This window comes from Homo sapiens, chromosome 7 (assembly GCF_000001405.40).
Source record: "Homo sapiens chromosome 7, GRCh38.p14 Primary Assembly".
Classification (NCBI taxonomy): Eukaryota; Metazoa; Chordata; class Mammalia; order Primates; family Hominidae; genus Homo; species Homo sapiens.
In genome coordinates this window covers 95,231,793-95,255,653 of record NC_000007.14, presented here as the reverse complement: position 1 = coordinate 95,255,653, position 23,861 = coordinate 95,231,793, and the positions used below count along the sequence as shown (strand labels likewise).

Below are 23,861 nucleotides of genomic sequence, written 5' to 3'. Positions count from 1 at the left end.
ACTTTTCCTCTTTCATTCTTGATCCCACAAATCATATACCTTGCAGTATAATCGGCAGGACCTAGTACTTTCTTTCTGCCTAGTAGCCACTTTCTCTTACAAGTCAGTGTACCACCTAAGGCCTGCCTGGAAGCAGGTTTTCGGTGTTCAAAATAATTTTTTAAATGATATCACACTTACTCCTGATCTCTCACGGTAGAATAGTCAGAAATATGCCTTCATAGGTAACTTCCACCTACTGGCCCTAGTCTTTCTTTCAGTATCTCTATGGGATATGCACAATCCTTTAGCAAACCAGCCTTCAAAATATTTGAAGCAGCAAATGGTATCAACATAAGGATCCTGGAATATCTAGAAGCTCAGAATGTATTGCTTCTGTGACTTTTCTAGGAAATCCAATAAAACTAATATTACAAGCTTTTAGCCTACCAAGATCACTCTAACATACCTATTCTCTGTTTTTATCCTAATCCTGGCATTATTTAGGCACTAAGAAATGACAAGCATGAAACATAGCAGCAGGGCATAATTATCATTTTTCCTTTCCTGGAACACAAGGAAAATACTTGACCAGCACATTGATATAAACTAGAATGGATTTGGGGTCTGTTATGGCTCTTGGTGGAAAAAAATTTGTTACGTCTGCTTTATGTAATCATGATAAGATAAAAGTGTTACAATATATTAAATAACAAATTTGTACTGATGATTGTTATCAAAATTTTAATAATACTTGAGTTGGCTTAGGTTTTAGTGAGAAACATACAAATGGTGGTCAAACGTAATTTTAAATTTGTGCTAAATTTCTGTATGGTTTGGAAAAAGGTTTTACTCCTCAAAAATTTATAATTCAATATTAAGAGTCACATCATTTTGGAAGAGCATGAGTACACATGAAGAAACGGCTGCTCAGAGGCTCTTCCTTTCTTCCTCCTTAGCTTGCCTTCCCTTCCTTTTACTATTTCATTCTGACCATTTTCATTGACCTACACTTGATCATTCTTTTGCTTCATGAGCTACCTCAATGCCTAAAAACATGCTAAACCACTCATCCTACCACTCCAGTGCCTGAAAAGCAAATCAGAATTGGACAGTCAGTAGAAGGTCGGGAGGATAACACTTGCATCTAGGAACTTTGGGAACTACTGGAAGTGCTATACCTCTCCTGGTACAAAACGTTGGTGATGGATTTTTAAATGTGGAATGGCCTATGTTAGGTCTGCAGCCTTACTTTCCTTTCTAAACCTCTAGTATTTCAGCATTCCCTAGCAACAGAAGCAAGGGATCAATTTAGAAAAGTGCTTTCCAGAGCATTCCTATCTAGCTACTGACCACGCCATTTTAGTTTATGTGATCAAGCAACTGAAATTCAAAGAGATTTATCACTGACTGTCCTCACAGCAAAACTGGAAGAGCACTTGATATGTATGCTACTAATGTCTGAGATGACTGATTCTACCTCTACTGCACAAGCATGGATTGGCTTCAGTAAGAATTAGTAGTCTCCACATCTCACTGTGAACCAACAGTGTTGCTAGGGAAACTGATAATTATGTGGCAAAATGGAGGGTGTAGAATAGAAAAAGGGTTCAGATGAAATGTAAGGTTTTGATCCAAATCAGCATGTTAATAGTATAGTGTGTTGATCTTCTGTAGTCATATAATTTAATAAACACCATTAATTATATGTTTGAAAAGATACAGATTTCTAAACTGAAAGAAATGAATAGAAATGAAAAGCTACTAGATACTGCTCATACTTTGAGTATGCCACAGCAGGAATATGTATTTATTATATATAAACTATAATTTTTTAAAAATTAAAATATTCAAAAAGGTAAAAAATTTGGTTTGATTCCTGATGTTTTTCTTTAGATATCAATCTTATAGTGTTCCAGGTATAAAAATTATAATTCCATAAGAGCTCAAATAAATTACTTTTTTGGCTTCAAAGACTAAACCATATAGTTTCAAAACAGGCCTTAAAGTGGTGAAGAAGGAAATACTACTTTTAAAATAATATGCACAGTAATATCAACCCAGAGAAGCTAAATACTCTTCCTGAAGTCACACAGCTCCTCACTTAGTCGTAATGCTAATGCTAAATCCTCCTCTTTCAGCTGCCTAAGAGGCACTATTTATAAATTACATCCTATTTAGGGAAAACCCATTAGAAGGATATAAACCCAGTGAATGGATTCAAATCTCTAGATATCATTTTAATTTTAAATGAAGATTTCTAATCCTTTCCATTTTTAATGGCTAAGAGCTTAGTTCTAAAAGTTCATGATAGGATATAAACACTTGCTTATCAGGAAAACTTCACTGGAGACAGTTTAATATGTGAGAAAGATCACGAAAAAACTAAAAAGCCCATTATAACAGGGTTTTACTGCACGTCAAAGTGTTGCCTCTGAGTTGTCGGTCCTGTCATGACAACCCTGCTGCACCACATTCTTTTATTTTCATTTTCCAGGGACTACTATGTATATATTTAAAAAGATGAAGCCACACATTCCTGTGTATTTATCTTTATAATTATTATGTGTTTTCTAATTTGCAAATATACCACAGATATTAAAACAGTCATTCATGTTCATACACGTGCAATCTAAGAATGTTGTGTGTGTAAGAACATAAGTAATTTATTTATGGTTGGTGTATGAATGAAGATAATCATTTATAATACCAAATGTTTCCAGTGTTTTGGTCTTACTTGGTCTTTGACATGAAAGACCTAAGAAGTATACACAGTACACCATGGTAAAAGCACAAAACTATATGGACTTCGTTAACTACATGAATCTCAAGTGCTGAAAGCAGCAGTCTGCCTTCTGATATTATGAAAAAGATCTTTATTCTAGTGACTTAAACATTCTAAAGCTTGGCTGGGCGCGGTGGCTCATGCCTGTAATCCTAGCACTCTAGGAAGCCAAGGCAGGTGGATCACCTGAGGTCAGGAGTTCGAGACCAGCCTGGCCAACAAGGCAAAAGCCCACCTCTACTAAAAATACAAAAATTAGCCAGACGTGGTAGCACATGCCTATAGTCACAGCTACTGGGGAGGCTGAGGCATGAGAATCGCTTGAACCTGGGAGGCGAAGGTTGTAGTGAGCTGAGATTGCACCACTGTACTCCAGCCTGGATGACAGAGTGAGACTCTCAAAAAAAAAAAAAAAAAAAAAATCTAAACCTTAGTCATTAACACATAAGTAGTGTAGTTCATCCTAGATAGGATGAACTACAATTTGTAAGGCAGTTTATTAAATCTGTCAATTGTATGATGATTTTAAAATAGTATTTGGCTTATCTTTAGTTGTGATTTGTTAATGCTACATATTAAAGTATTTATTTTTGATAAGACGAGAGCTAAAATGATTGACTCCTATTTTGATAAGCCTTTTCTTCTTTCCCATAGTAGGAAGGTATTTCCAACTTTTAAATCTCTGGGTCAGAAAAAGAAAAATAAAAGGCCAAATTACACAGTCATCAAAAATGATTTTTGTGGTTGGGTTAAACAAACCTTGACTTAGGCCATCTTGGCAAGATGTCTGCTTGCCATCCAAGTTCTCCATGGTATCCCCTTTAGAGACTTCACCAAGAGATGTTCTTCTCTCAAAGATGTTGTTATTATTGTTAACTTGAGTCCCATTTTGCTTCAGTAGCCTGAATACCTCAGCTTCCAAATCTCTAATCTAGGAAAAACAAATCCATTTATAAAACTCTAAACTAGCGCTCCCCTCCAAGTACAGCAAAACCATCTTATTATTTAGTGTCTTAGGGAACACAACTTACCCGCACTTGGAGGCCTTGCACTTCCACAAGATGAGCTTTTTCCAAATCTTCTATTTTCTTTCTTTCTGCTTCCTGTCTTTTGATGAAATCAAGCTCTCTTAAGAAGAAAATAATAGTTCTGATTATATCATACACTCAATAAATGAAAGTTCTTATCTGAAACAATAAACTGCATAGTAGGATAAGCAACTGAACAGTTATTTAAATGGACAACATTCAATCAGTTAGAGGAAAAAGTATAGTAATGAAAGAAACTAAAACATCTTTAATGGGTCACAAGGCAAAGAAAAATGATTCGATTCTGCTTACTATAATTTTCTTTCGTAGCTCCTGATTCTAGAACACCCATACATATTTAGATAGGAAAGACTGCACTAATGACCCACATTGGGTAATTTAGTGGAGATAATTACTTGTCAGGTAGAAATAATTCCATTTTTCCAATGTCATAAGCATAGTATAGTAAACTGATGTAACTAGATAAGAGTTCGAAAAAGATAATTGTAAGATTTCTATGAATAACAGTGAAGAGGGGGCTGGGTGGGTCAGAAACATCGAGAGGGGCACTCACTTATAGACCTAAGGATAATATGGGGAGAAGAGAAACAGTTCCATTTTGAAAACCTGGAATAGAATATGCAAATTTAGCAAAATTTACTATAAAATTATTTCATGAAAAAGAGTTTGGCAAATAGTTAAAACAGTGATGTATTGAATTTATAGTCACAGAGAATAATTACTCCCCTTTTAACAAGAAACTTTTGATAGCAAAACTCTTTTAAATATTAAAAACATTCTTCCACATAATAGGAAATAAAAGAAATATGGTTAATCTTACATATATGCTTAGCTTCTGAGGCTTGGCATGGAAGACCAGAAAAGGTACTGGTACTACTTATTTGTTCTAACTAGCCAGAAGTAACTGATGAAAAAAATCTAGTAAAAATCTCCGTGGTCAGTCTCCGTGACATTACACCGAGATCCAAGAGATGGAAGCAAAGGAGCAGTAGCTCAGAAACAGCTGTTGAAAATCAAAAGCAGAATGTGGTAATGGTCTCTCTCCCTGCAGTGAAAGGAGGCCCTCCTGATTCTCTCAACAGCTGAGAAATGCAGAGTGGCAGGGCAGGGGGCCTTGCTAGTCGATATGTGCACTGTCTGTAGTGGGAAATTCTGTAGTTACTGATCTAAGAATAGAGAGGAGCAGCCTGATTCAGGCCCCAGCTGTGGCTTGCGTGCTCCACATCCAATAGTCAGTCATTCTACATGACTTTCCGCTGGGCTTCTTGTTTCTAAATCATAGAGGTGTTTCAAAAAGAATAAAGAAATTCAGATGTTTTAACAGTTATAAACAACGATTAATTATCAAAAATAGCAAAGAGGCCCTGGCAGCCAAAAACTATAAAATATACAAAACATAATCTCATGAAAAAGTGATAGAAGTGACTTCCAAAACTTAATGTGTATTTATGCTGTAACTATGCTCCTGGATAGGAAAGATATCTCTAAGGTCATCTTTTCTGTTCCACTAGATATTACAAAATTATTGGACATAAACCTTCTTTAGACAAACATAACTATTCTTTAGTTATTAGAAGCGGCTTACTTTTGTTGAAAATCCTTGATCAACTTCTTTGCCTTGTTGTATTTCTTTTCCAAGGCCTGATACTGGCTTTGAGTCTCTTTGAGATGCTCATTCACTGTGTGGCATAATGTTTGGGCCTCAATCCAGTAGCTTTCCAACTTCAACATTCTTTCCTTATTCTCTTCTATGTTTTGTTGGAGTTGGGTTTTTTCTAGTTCCCACCTCACTTTCTCATTTTCTGCTGCCTGCAGCTGGAGAAAGCAAACGTCAAGGCAAAGATAATTTGGCCACTTTTGTGGCAAAAATCTCTCATTTTTATAGCATGTTGTAGATCAAGTTCTATTATCATAAACAATCACTGAATCCACTTGAGATGAGAAAAGCAGGTATTATTTTTATAATTCCACAGATGATAAAATGGAAGCCTTGAAAAGTGAAATGATTTGTCCAAGGTCACACATTTGATAAGTGATAAAACATGGATTGGATTCCACCTCACACGATATTTCCATCACACCAGGTGATCTGAAATTCTGTGAGCAGTAAAAGATGTTTCAGAGTTTGATATATCCAACGAATGTCAACATGTTTTGAGAGTTTTTAAAAAATATATAATTATATATAAAAAATTAACTAAAAAGGGAGTGGAGAGGGCCAGGGAGGAGAGAGGAGTTAGAAGCACAGTATGGCTTAATGGTTAAGAGGGGATCTCTGGAGTCATTCAGCATGGATTTGAATCCCAGTTCTGTCATTATTGGCCATTAAACCTTGGACATGTAATTGAAGTTCTCCAAGACTCAATTACATCATCCATACAACAGAATTGTGATATAACACATCAGAATGCTTGAAATAGCTCCTTGGGCATAAGAATCATCTGATAAACATTAACCACTTTCACTCTGCTTTTAACCCTTTTGGTGATCTTATTTCATTCTTTATTTCAAGGAACATGAACATATTCTATAGCTCATTATTTTACATGTAGTGTAATGAATTTCTCAAGCTTTATAAACCTCAATTCCCATAAAAATATAAAAGATAGTGTAAGTAAAAGTATAAATTTTTGCTTGGTTAATTTAATTCCCTCCCACGGAACAGAAAGCCATAACCAGCTTTTTGTTTTTCTGCTTCTAGGGACTCTTAGGAATAGATAGTAAACTAGTCTAATACCCTCATTTCTACAGAAATCCAATACTGATCATTTAGGTGAGGGCTCAAAAGTCATTCCCAATAACTCTCTGGCCTTCAAACTGGTACTTTATCTACTTTATATGCCTTCTTTAAAGTTCAAAAGGATGCAAAGTCATTATAAACTATCAATGTTCAAAATCATATAGCACTTAGCAAAAGTAAACATGTATTTATATACACACACATCTATGTTTTTGCAAATATTTTTAACTAAACACATTTGCAAAACAGTTTACAAAGTTAGAAAGCATCCAAAACAATGTCAAGATTAGGAATTCTATTATCAAAATGAATAATAAAGAATCATAATAAAGTGCTAATCTGTGGATATTACATGCCAATATAATGATGAAAAAATATAAAATGCTAATTTATAGTATTTTCTAAGTTAAATGTCTATAGTCTAATACATAAGCGCCATTAAAACACAATCACAGGGAAAAAGAGATCTTTTTAAAACAACAATTTAAAAAATCTTCAATTCTTTCTATGTCAAGAGACAATGACAATTTAAAACAGGAATAGGTTATTTACTGCATCTTTTATTAAGCAATGTTTTGTATCAAGTTGTTTATTTAGCAACCGCCACTAATTTAAAATTATTATTCACGGAGCTGGACTAACACCGTGAATGATGTATAGTCGTATTTTGACTAAAGAGCTGCAGAGTGAATTAGCTGAGAATAGCATTTAACCAAAATAGCCTTGCTAATTCATCTCCATTTAAAACACACGGAGAAACCAAAACAAGTGTTCAATGTGAACAACAAAAGAGATCATTAGTGGTAGTGGTGGTGGTGATTGGGGGCGGGGGAGGGTAATTATGTTTTAATTTTTAAAAGACCATTGAAACAATAAAGAATATTGCTTTAAAAGTAATTTAAAATATATTTTTAAATCTTTGAAATTGTATATTTGATAAAACTAAACAAAATTGCTAGAATTGTGTCTCATACGAGTGCCTTAAAGTTTGTCAATGAAAATATATAGACTAATAATACATACTCCCTTTTATCAAGACCTTTTCTCCCCCACAAATTTAAATTATGTGAACCAAACAACTAAAAATTTCCAGTAGTACCTGGCACTTAAATTATGCATGTATTAAGTTTATAAGATTTAATTATTAGAAATTAGAAATGGTTTATAAAACATTGATGTGCTATACTAAATTTGTTCCTACAAATGATTAAATCTATTTATAATAAGGTAAGTGAAGAGGAGATATAGTAGCTTTGCTTAAGGAATTAGTAATCAAAACATACTTTGCATACTTGAACCATTAAAAATATTACTTTTTAAGGAAATCTCAGAGGCCACATATGTGCAAATACATAAATATATATATCTAAAATATTGTGTTATTTGCACTGAGGGGGATGTGGGTGTTTGCTCTCACTGGCAGGTTTGTCTACGTACCTGACAGTGAAAATGAATCTATCACATTTGCATTCTTTCAAATATACAGGGACAAAACCTTTAGTCCTAGGATTGGATTTATTCATAGTATCTGAAGTTTAAAAAGTAAAATTCAAACACCATGTTTCGGTGCTTACCTTGGTCTTCAATTTTTGAATCTCTGCTTCTGTAACTGCATGTTTGATTTGCAACTGAAAATTGAAAAGAAAGAAAAAATCTGAACTAAGAAAGTGTATCTATATTTGTAAAGCCTCAGCAGCTACAAGAATGCCTTATTACATAGTAAAAGGCCTAGAAAAGTGCTGCAGTGCAGCAAGTTGTAAATTAAAGTGTCTACTGTGTGAAATGACACTGGGTGCAAACTAATTAAACACAGTTTATGGTCTATACTCCCTAACATCAGATTAGGTTACCAATTTAATTGCTCAGGGACCAAGAGAAGAAAACACTTTTTATTGCCCTCTTTGCAGCTCTTCCTTTATGATTTGAGCGTCAAGGAACTGTTTCCTTGCTAAGTCTAGCTAACTGAACGGCATACACAGGCAAGTGAGCTGATAGTGTGATTTAATTCCAAACCTGGACGTGTGAAGATTTATTCCAAATCTGCAAGAAAGGTGGCGCTATGGTCCTGTGAGTTGCAAGCACATTCTGATCAGCAGCTCCACTGCAAAGGGAGAGAGGAGGAGGACTGCAGTTGCACGGGGAAATCTCTGATACATATTTTTTTCTTTTAATTGCAGGAAAGGTACAGATCCAGATTTCTGTCCTCCAAAAGATCTGCTCCTTTTGAAGACTCAGACCCCCAACAGCTTCTGCCACAGCTTATTAGCAATAAGAGTCACAGTTTACATTTGTTTTGCTTGTCCCTCCCCCCGCTTTGTTTTCTTTGTAAGGGAAGAAGAAGGAACTGAACGAATCATTCGTTTCCTTAGGGGATCAATAAATACTCCCAAATTTAAGAAAAACAACTTATGGGTTCACAATTTCTTGTCTGAAATCCTTGGGGCCAGATGTTTTTGGAAGTCAGCATTCTTCCAACTTCAGAAAAGTAGTTACGATGTATCTTCTACAAATTGCTTATTATCCACAGCAGGGTCTTTGGAGGCACTCTATAGTCAAAAACACATGAATTATTTTTGCCACCAAACATGAATATTCCCACTAAGCGAGGTACATGAAGACTGTAAATAGCATCCTGTTAGGTCAGGTTGTACCACTAAATTAGTTTGACACAAAATTACAAAAAAGACTGGGAGCGTTTTGGATTTAAGACTGTACATGAGGGACCATAAACTTTTACTATTACTGTAATCAAGTAAGGCTAAGAGGTTTTCTTATCAGAAGTGAGTGAGTCTGACAGAAGGACAGAAATGTGGAGTTTTCAGACTAGCAATGTGAACCTGTGGAGACCACAGCACCTCATAAACCTCAGCCCTCTCTTGGGTTTGCAACCTGTATTCCCTTGGGTTTTTACCAAGTTCATGGGGACACATGGGAAGGATGATAAAGGGAAGATGGAAGAACCAAGGACAGGTCTATTCGACCCCCTTGGATGCCTGTGGCTAACTGCCCAGAACCTGAGGGTTCCTAAGTTCCTTGTAAAGTGCTCCTCCTGTTATGCAAAAGGCATGAGGTCTGCACTGCCACAGCTCTTGTTACTGCTCTTGGTGCTGAGAGTGATTTTGAAACTTTTCAGTTTGATTCTGCCGCACTCACACTGCTTACATTCTTCCTGACCTGGTCACTCTGGCCATCTTGCTGGTGTGGCTATTGCTCCTTGCACCCTCACCGGCTCCTAGGGGCTTCTATGCTTGAACAGTTTCTAGAGTAGGACCCTATGTGGAAATGTTATTTTTATAAGACACAAAATCTGGCTCTTTTAGTTTCTTACCACAGCACAAGTGGTACAATTCTTACTTACCTGCCTTTAGCAGATGCTCAGAGTATTAGTGCACCTGGCAAGGAACCTAATCACAAGTTTTCTCAATGACTAGATTGGAAGAAGGTGTAAAGACACAACAGTGCTGCTCAGAAATCCCTGCAATTCCTACCCCTTCACTGATGAGGTCTATACTCATCCTAAGTCCTAGTCTGGATGGATCTTTTGGAATCCTGACACACCAGGCTAGCCAGTCAGATAGGCTTGAATGCCCAGTGGACGCTCCAACTGTAGGCTCTTCTGAACTCATTTTAGACACGGGAAGACTAAAGATTGGAGAAGACAGCCAACCTGGTCTTTTCCTCACAGTGAATCACCATTAAAACCAGAACTAAAACCTGGATCTTCTCGTTCTGATCCATTGCCACTTTCCTTAGAAAATAAGGATGAATTCAATAGGCATTCGTTGAAGAGTTGCTATGTGCAGGATGCTGTAAAAATGACTTTTTCTCCCTCTAATAAATATTAGGGCTAATCTCCCCCACCAGTATAAACTAATAACGTAAAAAAGGGCAAAAGTACTTAGACATTAGACACATTATTTATATATAAATCTACAAAAACAAATAATGTATATGCACACAAACATACATGGCTATGTGCTAAGGCATCCAGAAAATCCATACACTTAGGTGATTTTATAGGATTTGCAATCGCTATTGACAAGATATACTTCTTGTTCTTTCAACCATGTGCCAAGCATGAAGAGTAGTTAACTTAGACTGCTTGAATTCATCTCTGGTCTACCATGTACTCTATGGAGCATTAGAAAATTACTTAACCTCTTTCATTTCACTTTCCTTGCCTGTAAAATTCAGTTCCTTATAAGTCATAACCTTCCTTATTGGATGATTAAGTGATAAAACCCATATAAAGCACTTAGCACAGTGGCTAGCATATAGTATGTCCTCAATAAACTCAGCTAGGACCAAGAAAGAATGATCTGAATAACTCAAATATGATTACCCCAGCTTCACCTCTCAGTTAAATGTGCTAACTGCTGTAAAATGTCACACCTGAAGTAAAATGAACACCTCTGATTCAATTTAAAGAGAAACAAGAAATCAAAAGGGCAGATTCCACAGTGAACACTGCACTATGGGCAAGTGACAGATTTTATTAACTCCTCGTAGGGTAACCAAATACGTGGCATGCAGCTTGTTGGCATTTTGGACTTTCTTTTCTCAGATCACTGTGTCTTCTATAAGTTGCTTCTCTGGGCCTCAGTTTCCCATATGAAAAATGCTAGATGTGAGGAACTCCAAGGGCCCTTTCACATACAACAGGTGTGACATTTATGAAACAAAGAACCTGAAGGTAGTTGTCAAGGTTGCAGAGCTTAGAAATTCTTGTCCTGAGCCAATATTTTCCTTCTTGTGAATAAATACACTAGATTAATCCACAAATTGTGGGACAAACCCAGGTAAAACTGTGAAACAGCCCATGTTGATCTATTCTACCCTTTCCATCTCACCAAAAATGGATAACAGGAGGGAACTGAACTAATTAGCAGTGAGGTGAGAACAACTGCGCAAAGTTTGGAGTGTTACTAAGTATAGCTAAATTCTTTACATATAGGAAAGCAGAATGAATTGTGTAAATTCACATTATTCAGAATGGACAAGATTTTCTTAGTACACATGAGGCCTAAAATTAAAAATATGCGATTATTTTAATTCTGTATGTACATTAAGAGAATTTCTACAAATCCATCACTTTTGACAAGAAAAGCATCAAAATACACTAACTGAACCCTTTTTGTTTTATATAGTATGGACCTGTGTCTAGTGAGCTTACCTTGGAAGGCTATTAGGTGCCAAAGCCAGGTTTTAGAAATCCCAGCCCATGGTTCTTTCCACTAATACTAAATTTCTTACATTTGTAGGCCCCTTTATTTTTAATCATCTCCCTTTATCATTGCAAATGACTGGGGGAGGCAGGGCAGGTGTTGTGAACCTCATGGTTCAGATGAGGAAAGAGGCTCAGGGAAGTCACACACCTTTTCAAGTTCCCACTAGAAACAGGTGATGGAGCGGAAACAAAACCAGATTTGACTCTTCCTACCTCTGTTCCTCCCTTAACCATGTATCTAACTGAACCAGTTGCTTTGGGATATATTTTTCATTTAATCTTCCCCCAAACCCCAAGCCATATGTCATCATCATAACCTCTCAGATGAGAAGTTATTACTCCAACTGGAAACCATGGATCACTTCTGGTAGTCTCTGAGCATTCTGACAGTGAATGCAAAATGGTGCTCAATCAGCTGCTGTTATTATTAATGAAGCTTAGAAAGCAGACCTCCACCTCCCTTAATAATCAATTGGCCTTTAGTGACTGAGACTACGTGCTAGGTACTATGCTAATCACTGAGGATACATGAACATGACATAGAATCTACTTTCAAGATACTTCAGGGAGATTAATAAAAACACCTTGTAAGAATTCTCCAGATCACCCTGTGAGAAAGGTCAGAGGCAACCTGCTGCTGGATGGCTTGTTTAGTCTTTTGTTCCTATAGCCAGATCAGATGTCATGTGTCTTTGGCCTGTTTGTCCAGACGTGGACCCTACTTTCCAAGCAAAGTGAGCAAGATGGACCCAAGTTATCTCCATTTCATGAGGAAAAGAAAATTGCTTTTCACAGGGGTGAAGGACCTCGACAAATGAAGCATAGTTGGTAAAAGGTTGAGTTTTCTTATTCTAGAGCAGTTCCCTTTCCACATGTTTAAGAGATTTATGTCAAGAATCAATAACCTTTTCAAAGTACAGGTCCAAGAGTTTGCAAGAATGGTCAGGCACGCTGACTGCAGGGATAGAAGGTTAACAGGGCTGGTTAATAGAAATAGAGCCTGAGATGCCTGTTGGAGTTTTTGGGCTTCAGAGAAGCTAGGTTTGGAGAAAAGAGTTGGGATTAGGAGGGCATAAATAAAAAGAAAAGGTTAAGGACTGCAGGTAAAAGTCTTTTAACTTACAAGACCATCATTTTCATCTCTTCAGTCATCTTTAATATGAAAGCCATAGATATGCACCTCAGGATTTCAGCACAAATAAACATACACATTCCTATGAGAACAGGAGCTTTCATTTAACATTCTGAAGGTGTACCTGCTGTGTATAATTTTTTTTTCAAAAAGATGAATACAGAACATGCACTCATATTACCGGATCGATATAATCCAAATATAACTGTGCTAGAAATAGAAACATCCTTTACACAGAAACTTAAATAGTGAGACTGAACTTTTGCCCTCTCTCTACTTATCCTGTGAGAGCATGGAAACATTTTTCTTTAAAAAGTGAAAAATATCTTTGCAGGAAATGTTTTAAGAGAGCTCTAGTTCTAGAAATATTACAATCAGATAAGGGCAACATTTTCTGCTGTTGCTTTACAAAAGCAAATCAATAACTAATATTTGCATAGAACTTTATAAAGTGCTTTCTAGATTGGGATCTAAATTTTTAGTTATCTTTGTGAGTATTTGAGTGATGTATGTCTTACCTACAACAATATAGCTTCACAAAAGAAATCAAAGCTGTTTTTAACTACATTTTGGTGTTAAGATGAAGCTTTGCCATATTTCTTTGTAATTTCTGCTGAAAAGTTTACATATGGTATCTATCCAGTATTAACGAAAGTGTTTTACTTAGGGAATCATGTATGCAAAATGAACTAAAACTGGCTGACTGAACAATATCACAATCTAATCTGAATGGTAACACTAATGGCAGCATATGTAGCATTGGGTGAGATTCTCTAACAAGGTCACTCCCTAAGTAGGTACTCATAAACTTGTTATTAATGATGCTGCTGCTGGATGTAGTTGATGGCCTGTAATTACAGCTCTTTTTTAAATAAGTAACTGTTTGCTATTAAGTAGGCAGCAATTTATAGCTTCCCTACATGGTAGTGGAAACTTCCATAAAGATAACTTAATGTTATTATCCCATGCATTTTATAACTTTTCTAGATTCTTTTTCATAGAATTAAATAAATAAAATAAACCAACTTTTAGACTCCATTTTTTCTTCAAGAGAAATGTCGAATTTTTTTAATTGTTGCAATTGCTGTGACTCCTGAGGAGGAATGGCAAGGGAGAAATTGGACAGTCACTTTAAATGGTACCTGGCTAACAGTTCCTGAGCCAGCCTCGCCGTACCTTCCATTAAACTGCCAGTGTAATCACATTAAAAACAAAAAAACTCACAATCAAAAATGAACACCACAACTAAAAACAACAGTTCATAGAATATAAAAGAGTCATGAAGTTGAATTAAGAAAAATCTATCCAAGATCCCCTCTGACATCAGGGAGACACTTTGTACCACCCTCACTGATGGCTTGAGATCCATTCTGTCCCAAGCAAAAAGTGGACAACCCCTACTGTCTTGCCCAGGAATGGGGCCTCAAACTGGGCTCTCTAACTTCCTCAGTATTCCATATTTGCTCAGAAAGCAACTGTTAGGGGGAAATGCAGGAAGGTGGCTGATGCATGGCACACTGCATACTTTCAGCTGCAGACCTATATAGACATGGGTGGCTTCAGTAAGTGCCTTGCTAGCAGTGAAGACTGGAAATTACCTTTTTTATCTCTTTAACTTAGAGAACTGTGTGGCAATACTTGGGAGTATCTGACCTTAGTACAGAGAATTGCCCTAGATGTCAGACTGCTAGAAAATAGCAACTGGGCTGGACACGAGGCACCTAAATATCCCTCCTGATCTAAGTCTAGAAATGAGATTCATAATCAAAAAGTGAATAATTACTGACTAACCTACTAAAAGATTTTTGTTTCATTTCAAGATAAGGAAAGAAAAAACAGGTCACCTTAGGTCTATTAACAAATACTGCAAATCAAGGTAAAGAAAATATCAACTTGAACACACAAATAAGTAAACTTGTGAAAATGATGTATCCCATAAGTAAAAAAATATTTTAAGATCACTTTTTGAAATTCTAGGCTGAAGAGAAAGTAAAGAAAAGCGAGAAAGAATGAAGAGTAAGAAGACTAAACATTTAATAAGAGAATTAAGTCATGTTAGAAGTGCTAAAAAGCATAAATGAATTTGAATTTAAAAGCATATTTAATTACAATTAAACTGTACACTTAAAATGGTAAAGACAGTAAACTATACATGTATATTTTACCCAATAAAAAATTAACAAAAAGCATAATTAATGCTATAAAAAATAAAATCACTGATATGACAAGACAAATTTAAGAAACAATCTCAGACACGAAAAAAAGACAAAATAAAACCATAAAAAAACGTAATAGATACTGATGACAGTATTTCTAGAAAAAAAACAGAAATAGGAAAAAACTGAAGGAAACATTAATGAACTAAAATGAAAACAAAACAAAAACAGAGCAATGAAAGCAAATTAAAAAGACAAATAATCAATGAAAGAAGGCCTACTTCAATAAATTGTGCTAAAGATTTTTAAAGTACAAGGTGAAAACAATACAAGCATCCAAATGCAAGCTTTATGTTAGACTTTTCCTTTAAAACACTCTTAAAACAATAAAACTTGCCCTACCACTTTTTCAGGGAAAAAGTTCATAAATGAATTAGAATGTCATTCTCAGTATGGGAAGCTCATGGAAACTATATCCTCCACAAATACTTAACAAATTACTTAAAGATATACTCTGAGAATGAGAAAAAATTCAGAATATAAGAATGAAGAAATTATTCTTTAAAAGGAATAATAGTGGATACTGATTAACCTGAGAGTATAACTATCTGTTGTAAATATCTTTAGAAAACTAACCAAAAACATAAGTTTTTAAAAAATGTAACAATTATATTTTAATAATCTCGCTTAGAACCCAAGAGTGTATCAAAATCTTCCATATGAAACATTCAAATGATTATTTGAATTCAAATTATATTTTGTTCTTAATTTTTAATTTTTAAATTAAATTTTAATTTCATTTTTAATATTTTAATTTTTATTTTGTCCTTAAATTTTTAAACACTTTTCAAAAACTTAAAGACAAGCCTTAGTGTGAAAGCCAATAAACATAAAAGAAACATATAGCATAAAATAAGGTGGGAACACCTATATCTTGCATAATTATAATTATAAACTTAAATTGGTTAAATTTTCTTGTAAAAAATACAGATTCCAATATTATATTTTTATTTGTTTATTTATTTTGAGACAAGGTCTCACTCTCTTGCAAAGATTGGGGTGCAATGGCACAATCACCACTCAACTGAAGCCTCTACCTCCCAGGCTAACGTGATCCTCCCACCTCAGCCCTCTGAATAGCTGGAACCACAGGTGATTATATTATTTTAAAGCTACTATAAAACAAAGTGCTACAATTATGTTTATGTTAAAAATAGGTACACACTTATACACTGGTGTTTATCCAGCAACTGCAAACAAAAGTAGCAGTAAGAATATTAACATCAAAGTATACTTAAAGGTTGATAAATCTTGAAGTCATATTTTATGTACTTTCAACATGCCATCAACATAGATAACCAAAGCTGTAAGACACAAAATACAACAATGAGGTATAATTTCAGTATATATAATTCTCAATTTCCTAGATTAAGGAAAAATGAATATGGATCCAGAAGGTCTAAAACACATCGTGTCACTTTTACCAAAAACACCAGTATTAGTCTACAATAAAAGCAACACATTCAAAAAAAGAAAAACTTGAAAAGACACTATTATCTGGCCTCAATGTAATAAAACATTAAATAGATTAAAAAGTTACAAATTAAAAAGTTTCCCCAATTGTTCAAGTCAAAGAGAAAATGAAAGTAAAAATAAAAAATATAGACTATTTATGAAGTGATGAAAATGAGAAGAATGCACGTTGAAACGAGATGTGGCCAAAGGCATAATAAGAGACAGGTTCATAATTTTAACTGCTCTCATATTTAAACAATCAAGTATGACAATAAATTCAGCATTGGTTTCAAGAAGTTAGAATATGAGTAATCAAACATTCCTAAGAGAAACAGGATGATGGAATAAATAAAAATACAAAGTTAGGGAGGGGGAAAGTGCCAGTGCAGTACAACATAGCAAACTAACATGAGCTATTCCCTGTCTCTCTTGAATTCAACTTCGGAGATGCCAAAAAAGAAAAATAGACTTTGTATGGGCTTCAGGGTCTTATTCATCAATTAATAAAACAGCTGATGAGAAACTCATACAGAACACAAGTAGTTGCAGATGTCTTTGGAAAACTGAGGATCTGAAGCAGGAGAGTACAGTAACCAGGAATGGGGGCCAGCAATTTAATCTTTAGTCTTCTCCACATAACCTGAGTAAGCCTGTATCTGGAGGTACATCAGGGATAGCCTATTTCAGGCCCTGAAGCTTAGACCTCCTAGACACTAACTTATTATCCTTTGGTGCCTTTGGTAGAAACCTTTGGTGTAATGTGGTAGGTAAGCTGCAGCACCAGAGATAATAGTGAATTAACACTAGGGCAGCACCAGAATCCCATTACAGTTGGACAGAAAGAAGTATAGGTGAGCTGGAACTAATTATTTTGTAAAAAGTACACTTACAAATATATGTAACTAAAACTCCTGAAATACAAAAAGTTGGCAACAAGAGGAGAGGTAGAGGATGGTATGCTATGGGTATTATTTTGTTAAACGATAAAGACATAGATATTGATCTGCTTTATATATTGCCAGGAAAAAATAACCTAAGACTAAGTCAAAATAAGTCAAGGTAATAAAATACAAATGTATAACTTTAAAGCAGCAGATGAAAATTTGATGTACCTAATGGCAAGTAGGTAGAAAGACTTAAAAAAGAAATAAGAAAAAAGAATGGACATTGTAAAATATGAAATAAGGTGGCATACATAAGTTGGAAAAAATACATACATAAGATGGAAAAAATAGATGCTGTGAAACAAATATAAAGCAAAAGAAAGCCAGAGTTAATTTTTTATTATGAGACAAAATATAATTTGGGACAAAGTGCACCATAAAGGACAAGAGAGATATTATAAATAAAGAAGTTGTAATAATCCTCAACATATATGCAGTTAACAACAAAGATGTAAAATATCTAAAACTACCACTGGTAGGATTACAGGAAGAAATAAATGATGGTAACTGGTGATTTTAATATATGCTTTTTCAGATTTGGTAGATCAAATAGACAAAATATAAGCCATAGTACAGAAAAAATGTGTATATGTGTTTGTATTATTAATCTTATTTATATATAAAAAAATATGGCTGGGCATGGTGGCTCATGCCTGTAATCCTAGCACTTTGGCAGGCCAAGGTGGGCAGATCACCTGAGGTCAGGAGTTTGAGAACAGCCTGGCCAACATGGCGAAACCACGTCTCTACTAAAAATACAAAAATTAGCTGGGTGTGGTGGCGCATACTTGTAATCCCAGCTACTTGGGAGGCCGAAGTAGGAGAATCACTTGAACCCAGGAGGCAGAGGTTGCAGTGAACTGAGACGGCACCACTGCTCTCCAGCCTGGGAGACAGAGTGAGACTCCATCTCAAAAAAAAAACAAAAAACCATAAAAAAAAAAAAATATATATATATATACACATACACACACATAAACTTCACATCTAAATATGGAACAAGGGTGCTTTTTGCATAAATGAGGATTATTAAATAAAAACTGTTTATGTATCAAGCTATTAATATAAAATATCTTAAAAAATTCTACACAATAGCTATTATATGGAATATGTTTTCTGATCAGAGTGCAATAAAGTTGCAACCCATAACACAATATAGCAAAATAAAGTTCTACATGTCTGGAAAATGAAAAAAAACACTATATCATTCTTTTGTTAAAAAGAAAATTGCAAGAAAAAATACATATAAATAACAATGGCATTCTATCTGTAAAAAATTGTGACATGTAGTTAAAGCAATATTCAGAAAAAAATCAGTACAGGTGTCAGAATGTAAGAGTTATTAAAAATAAATAAACTAAGTGCAATTAATCAACCAAGAAGAAAAAAAGAAGAAAGAAAAAAGAAATATTGGTCTTTGTTTTTTTTCTTTTTTTAATCAAAGAAGAAACAATTAGGAACTAAAAAGCTAGAATGACAGATAAAATTCTACAAAAAAACCTAAAAAAGTAAAAATATTCAAATAAAGAGAAGAAAGAATATAAAAGGGATAACTACTTATAAATATAAAATACTTCAATACTTAAAAATTATTTTATAAAAATATAAGTTAATAAGTATAATAGCCTAAAGGAAATATCTACATTTCTTGAAAAATGCAAAATACCAAAATCGTCCCCCTGAAATTGAAAACTTGAACAGAGTAATAATTATTATGAAAGGTACTTAAAATATTCCTCCACTAATGCACAGATGGTTTATATAAGGTTAGTGCAAAAGTAATTGTGGTTTCTGTCATTACCTTTAATATGCTGAATTAAAAGCTGAATAATAACAAACTTCCAGGAACGGAACTTTCTATCTTATCTACATCATTAAGTCTCTTTTATAAAAGTAATTTCTGAAAATAAAAAAATACGGAAAAACTTCCTAATTTATATTGAAGCAAATATAATCTTTGTGGCAGTTAAAATTTTTTTGTTGTTGTTATAATAGGTTTTTGGGGAACAGGTGGTGTTTGGTTACATTAAAAAATTCTTTAGTGGTGATTTCTGAGGTTTTGGTAAACCCATCACCTGAGCAGTGTACACTGTACCCAATGTGTAGTCTTTAACCTCTTGCCACCCCACCTTTTCACTTGAGTCTCCAAAGTCCAACTTATCACTCATGCCTTTGTGTACCCATAGCTTAGCTCCCACATTTAAGTGAGAACATACGATGTTTGGTTTTCCATTCCTGAGTTACTTCACTTAGAATAATAGTCTCCAATTCCATCCAGGTTGCTGTGAATGCCATTATTTCTTTCCTCTTTATGGCTGAGTAGTATTCCATGGTACATATAAACCACATTTTCTTTATCCACTTATTGATTGATGGGCATTTGGGCTGGTTCCATATTTTTGCAAATGCAAATTGTACTGCTATAAAAATGTATGTGCAAGTATCTTTTCCATACAATGAGTTCTTTTCCACTGGATCAAATGATAGATCTACTTTTAGTTCTTTAAGGAATCTCCACACTGTTTTCCATAGTGGTTGTACTAGTTTACATTCCCACCAACAGTGTAAAAGTTGTTCCCTTTTCACCATATCCATGCCAACATCAGTTATTTTTTGATTTTTTGATTATGGCCATTCTTGCAGGAGTGAGGTGGTATCACATTGTGATTTTGATTTACATTTCCCTGATAATTAGTGATGTTGAGCATTTTTCCATATGTTTGTTGGACATTTGTTTATCTTCTTTTGAGAACTGTCTATTCATTCATGTCCTTAGCCCACTTTTTGATGGGATTGTTTGTTTTGTCTTGCTGATTTGTTTGAGTTCTTTGTGGATTCTGGATATTCGTTCTTTGTCAGATGTATAGATGGCAAAGACTTTCTCCCAGTCTGTGGATTGTCTGTTTACTCTGCTGATTGTTTCTTTCACTGAACAGAAGCTTTTTAGTTTAATTACGTCCCATCTATTTACCTTTGTTTTTGTTGCATTTGCTTTTGGATTCTTGGTCATGAACTCTTTGCCTAAGCCAGTGTCTAGAAGAGTTTTTCTGATGTTATCGTCTAGAATTTTTATGGTTTCAGATCTTAGATTTAAGTCTTTGATCCATCTTGAGTTGATTTTTGTATAAGTTGAGAGATAAGCATCCAGTTTCAGTCTTCTACACCTGGCTTGCCAATTGTCCCAGCACCATTTGTTAGTAATGTGTCCTTTCCCCACTTCATGTTTTTGTTTGCTTTGTCGAACATCAGTTGGCTGTAAATATTTGGGTTTATTTCTGGGTTCTCTATTCTGCTCCATTGGTCTATGTGCTTAATTTTATACCAGTACCATGCTATATCGGTGACTGATAGTATAGTTTGAAGTTGGGTAATGTGATGCCTCCAAATTTGTTCTTCTTGCTTAGCCTTCCTTTGGCTATGTGGGCTCTTTTTTGGTTCCATATGAATTTTAGTCCTGAATGGTACTGTGAAGAATGATGGTGGTATTTTTATGGGAATTGCAAGGAATTTGTAGATTGCTTTTTGCAATATGGTCATTTTCACAATATTGATTCTACCCATCCATGAGCATGGAATGTGTTTCCATTTGTTTGTGTCGTCTATGATTTCTTTCAGCAGTGTTTTGTAGTTTTCCTTATAGAGGTCTTTTACCTTCTTGGTTAGGTATATTCCTAAGTATTTTATTTTTCTTTGCAGCTATTGTGAACGGCGTTGAGTTCTTGATTCGATTCTCAGCTTGGTCGCTGTTGGTGTATAGCAGAGCTACTGATTTGTGTACATTAATTTTGTATCCTGAAACTGTGCTGAATTCATTTACCAGTTCTAGGAACTTTTTGGATGAGTCTTTATAGTTTTTTAGGTATACAATCATATCAACAGCAAACAGTGACAGTTTGGCTTCCTCTTTACTGATTTGGATGCCCTTTCTTTCTTTTTCTTGTTTGCTCTGGCTAGGACTTCCAGTACTATGTTGAATGCAAGTACTGAAAGTGGGCATCCTTGTCTTGTTCCAGTTTTCACGGGGAATGCTTTCAACTTATCCCCACTCAGTATAATGTTGGTTGTGGGTCTGTCATAGATGGCTTTTATTACCTTAAGGTATGTCTCTTCTATGCCTATTTTGCTGATGGTTTTCATCATAAAGGGATGCTGGATTCTGTCAAATGCTTTTTTCTGCATCTATTGAGATGACCATGTGATTTTTAAATTTTAATTCTGTTTATGTGATGTATCACATTTATTGACTTGCATATGTTAAATCATTCCTGCATCCCTGGTATGAAATCCACTTGATCATGGTAGGTTATCTTTTTGATATACTGTTGGATTCAGTTCACTAGTAATTTGTTGAGAATTTCTGCACCCATGTTCATCAGGGATGTTGGTCTGTAGTTTTCTTTTTTTGTTATGTCCCTTCCCGGTTTGGGTATTAGGGTGACACCAGTTTCAGAGAGTGATTTAGGAAGGATTCCCTCTTTCTCTGTCTTTTGGAAAAGTGTCAGTAGGATTGGTACCAATTCTTCTTTGAATGTCTGACAGAATGCAGCTGTGAATGTGTATGGTCCTGGACTATTTTTGTTGGCAATTTTTTACATTATTTTTCTTTTTTTTATTATACTTTAAGTTCTGGGATACATGTGCAGAACATGCAGTTTTGTTACATAGGTATACATGTGCCACGGTAGGCTGCTGCACCCATCAACCCATCATCTACATTAGGTATTTCTAATGCTATCCCTCCCCTTGCCCCCCACCCCCTGACAGGCCCTGGTGTGTGACATTCCCCTCCCTGTGCCCATATCTTCTCATTGTTCAACTCCCACTTATGAGTGAGAACATGTGGTGTTTGGTTTTCTGTTCCTGTGTTAGTTTGCTGAGAATGATGGTTTCCAGCTTCATCCATGTCCCTGCAAAGGACATTAAGTCATCCTTTTTTATGACTGCATAGTATTCCATGGTGTATATGTGCCACATTTTCTTTATCCAGTCTATCAATGATGGGCATTTGGGTTGGTTCCAAGTCTTTGCTATTGTGAATAGTGCTGCAATAAACATAGGTGTGCATGTGTCTTTATAGTAGAATGATTTATAATCCTTTGGGTATATACCCAGTAATGGGATTGCTGGGTCAAATGGTATTTCTAGTTCTAGACCCCTGAGGAATCACCACACTGTCTTCCACAATGGTCGAACTAATTTACACTCCCACCAACAGTGTAAAAGCATTCCTATTTCTCCATATCCTCTCCAGCATCTGTTGTTTCCTGACTTTTTAATGATTGTCATTCTAACTGGTATGAGATGGTATCTCATTGTCGTTTTGATTCACATTTCTCCAATGACCAGTGATGATAAGCTTTTTTTCATATGTTTGTTGGCCACATAAATTTCTTGTTTTGAAAAGTGTCTGTTCATATCCTTAGCCCACTTTTTGATGGGGTTGTTTTTTTCTTGTAAATTTGTTTAAGTTCCTTGTAGATTCTGGATATTAGCCCTTTGTCAGATGGATAGATTGCAAAAATTTTCTCCCATTCTGTAGGTTGCCTGTTCACTCTGATAATAGTTTCTTTTGCTATGCAGAAGCTCTTTAGATTAGTTAGATCCCATTTGTCAACTTTGGCTTTTGTTGCTATTGCTTTTTGTGTTTTAGTCATGAAGTCTTTGCCTATGCTTGTGTCCTGAATGGTATTGCCTAGGTTTTCTTCTAGGGTTTTTATGGTTTTAGATGTTACGTTTAAGTCTTTAATCCATCTTGAAATAATTTTTGTATAAGGTGTAAGGAAGGGGTCCAGTTTCAGTTTTCTGCATATGGCTAGCCAGTTTTCCTAACACTATTTATTAAACAGGGAATCCTTTCCTCATTGTTGGCAATTTTTTTTAATTACCATTTCAATCTCTCTGCCTGCTATTGGTCTGTTCAGAGATTTTTATATCTTCCTGGTTTAATCTAGGGTGATTGTATATTTCCAGGAATTTAAACATCTCCTCTAGATTTTCTAGTTTATGCGTGTAAAGGTTTTCATAGTAGCCTTGAATGATCTTTTCTATTTCTGTGGTATCAGCTGTAGTATCTCCCGTTTCATTTGTAACTGAGCTTATCTGGATCTTCTCTCTTCTTTTCTTGGTTAATCTCGCTAGAGATCTATCAATTTTATTTATCTTTTCAAAGAACCAGCTTTTTATTTCATTTATCTTTTGCATTTGTTTGTTTCAATTTGATTTAGTTTTGCTCTGATCTTCATTATTTCTTTTCTTCTGCTGGGTTTGGGTTTGGATTGTTCTTGTTTCTTCAGTTCTGTGAAGTGGGACCTTAGATTGTCAGTTTGAGCCCTTT

At 35.1% G+C, this 23,861-nt stretch overlaps 1 protein-coding gene across 47 annotated transcripts in view; it reads right to left on the bottom strand.

The window, feature by feature from the left end:
• The window catches only part of PPP1R9A (protein phosphatase 1 regulatory subunit 9A), a 389,180-nt gene that overhangs the window by 40,762 nt on the left and 324,557 nt on the right, over positions 1 to 23,861 (bottom strand). For 41 of the 47 annotated variants that reach the window (XM_047420574.1, XM_047420585.1, XM_047420580.1 and 38 more), the window contains 4 exons: positions 8,128 to 8,181; positions 5,399 to 5,628; positions 3,796 to 3,892; positions 3,524 to 3,695 (listed from right to left, as the gene is read on the bottom strand). In XM_047420574.1, coding sequence (XP_047276530.1) covers positions 3,524 to 3,695; positions 3,796 to 3,892; positions 5,399 to 5,628; positions 8,128 to 8,181 — 553 coding nt within the window. The other 6 variants (XM_047420596.1, XM_047420600.1, XM_047420598.1 and 3 more) reach the window with 4 other exon arrangements.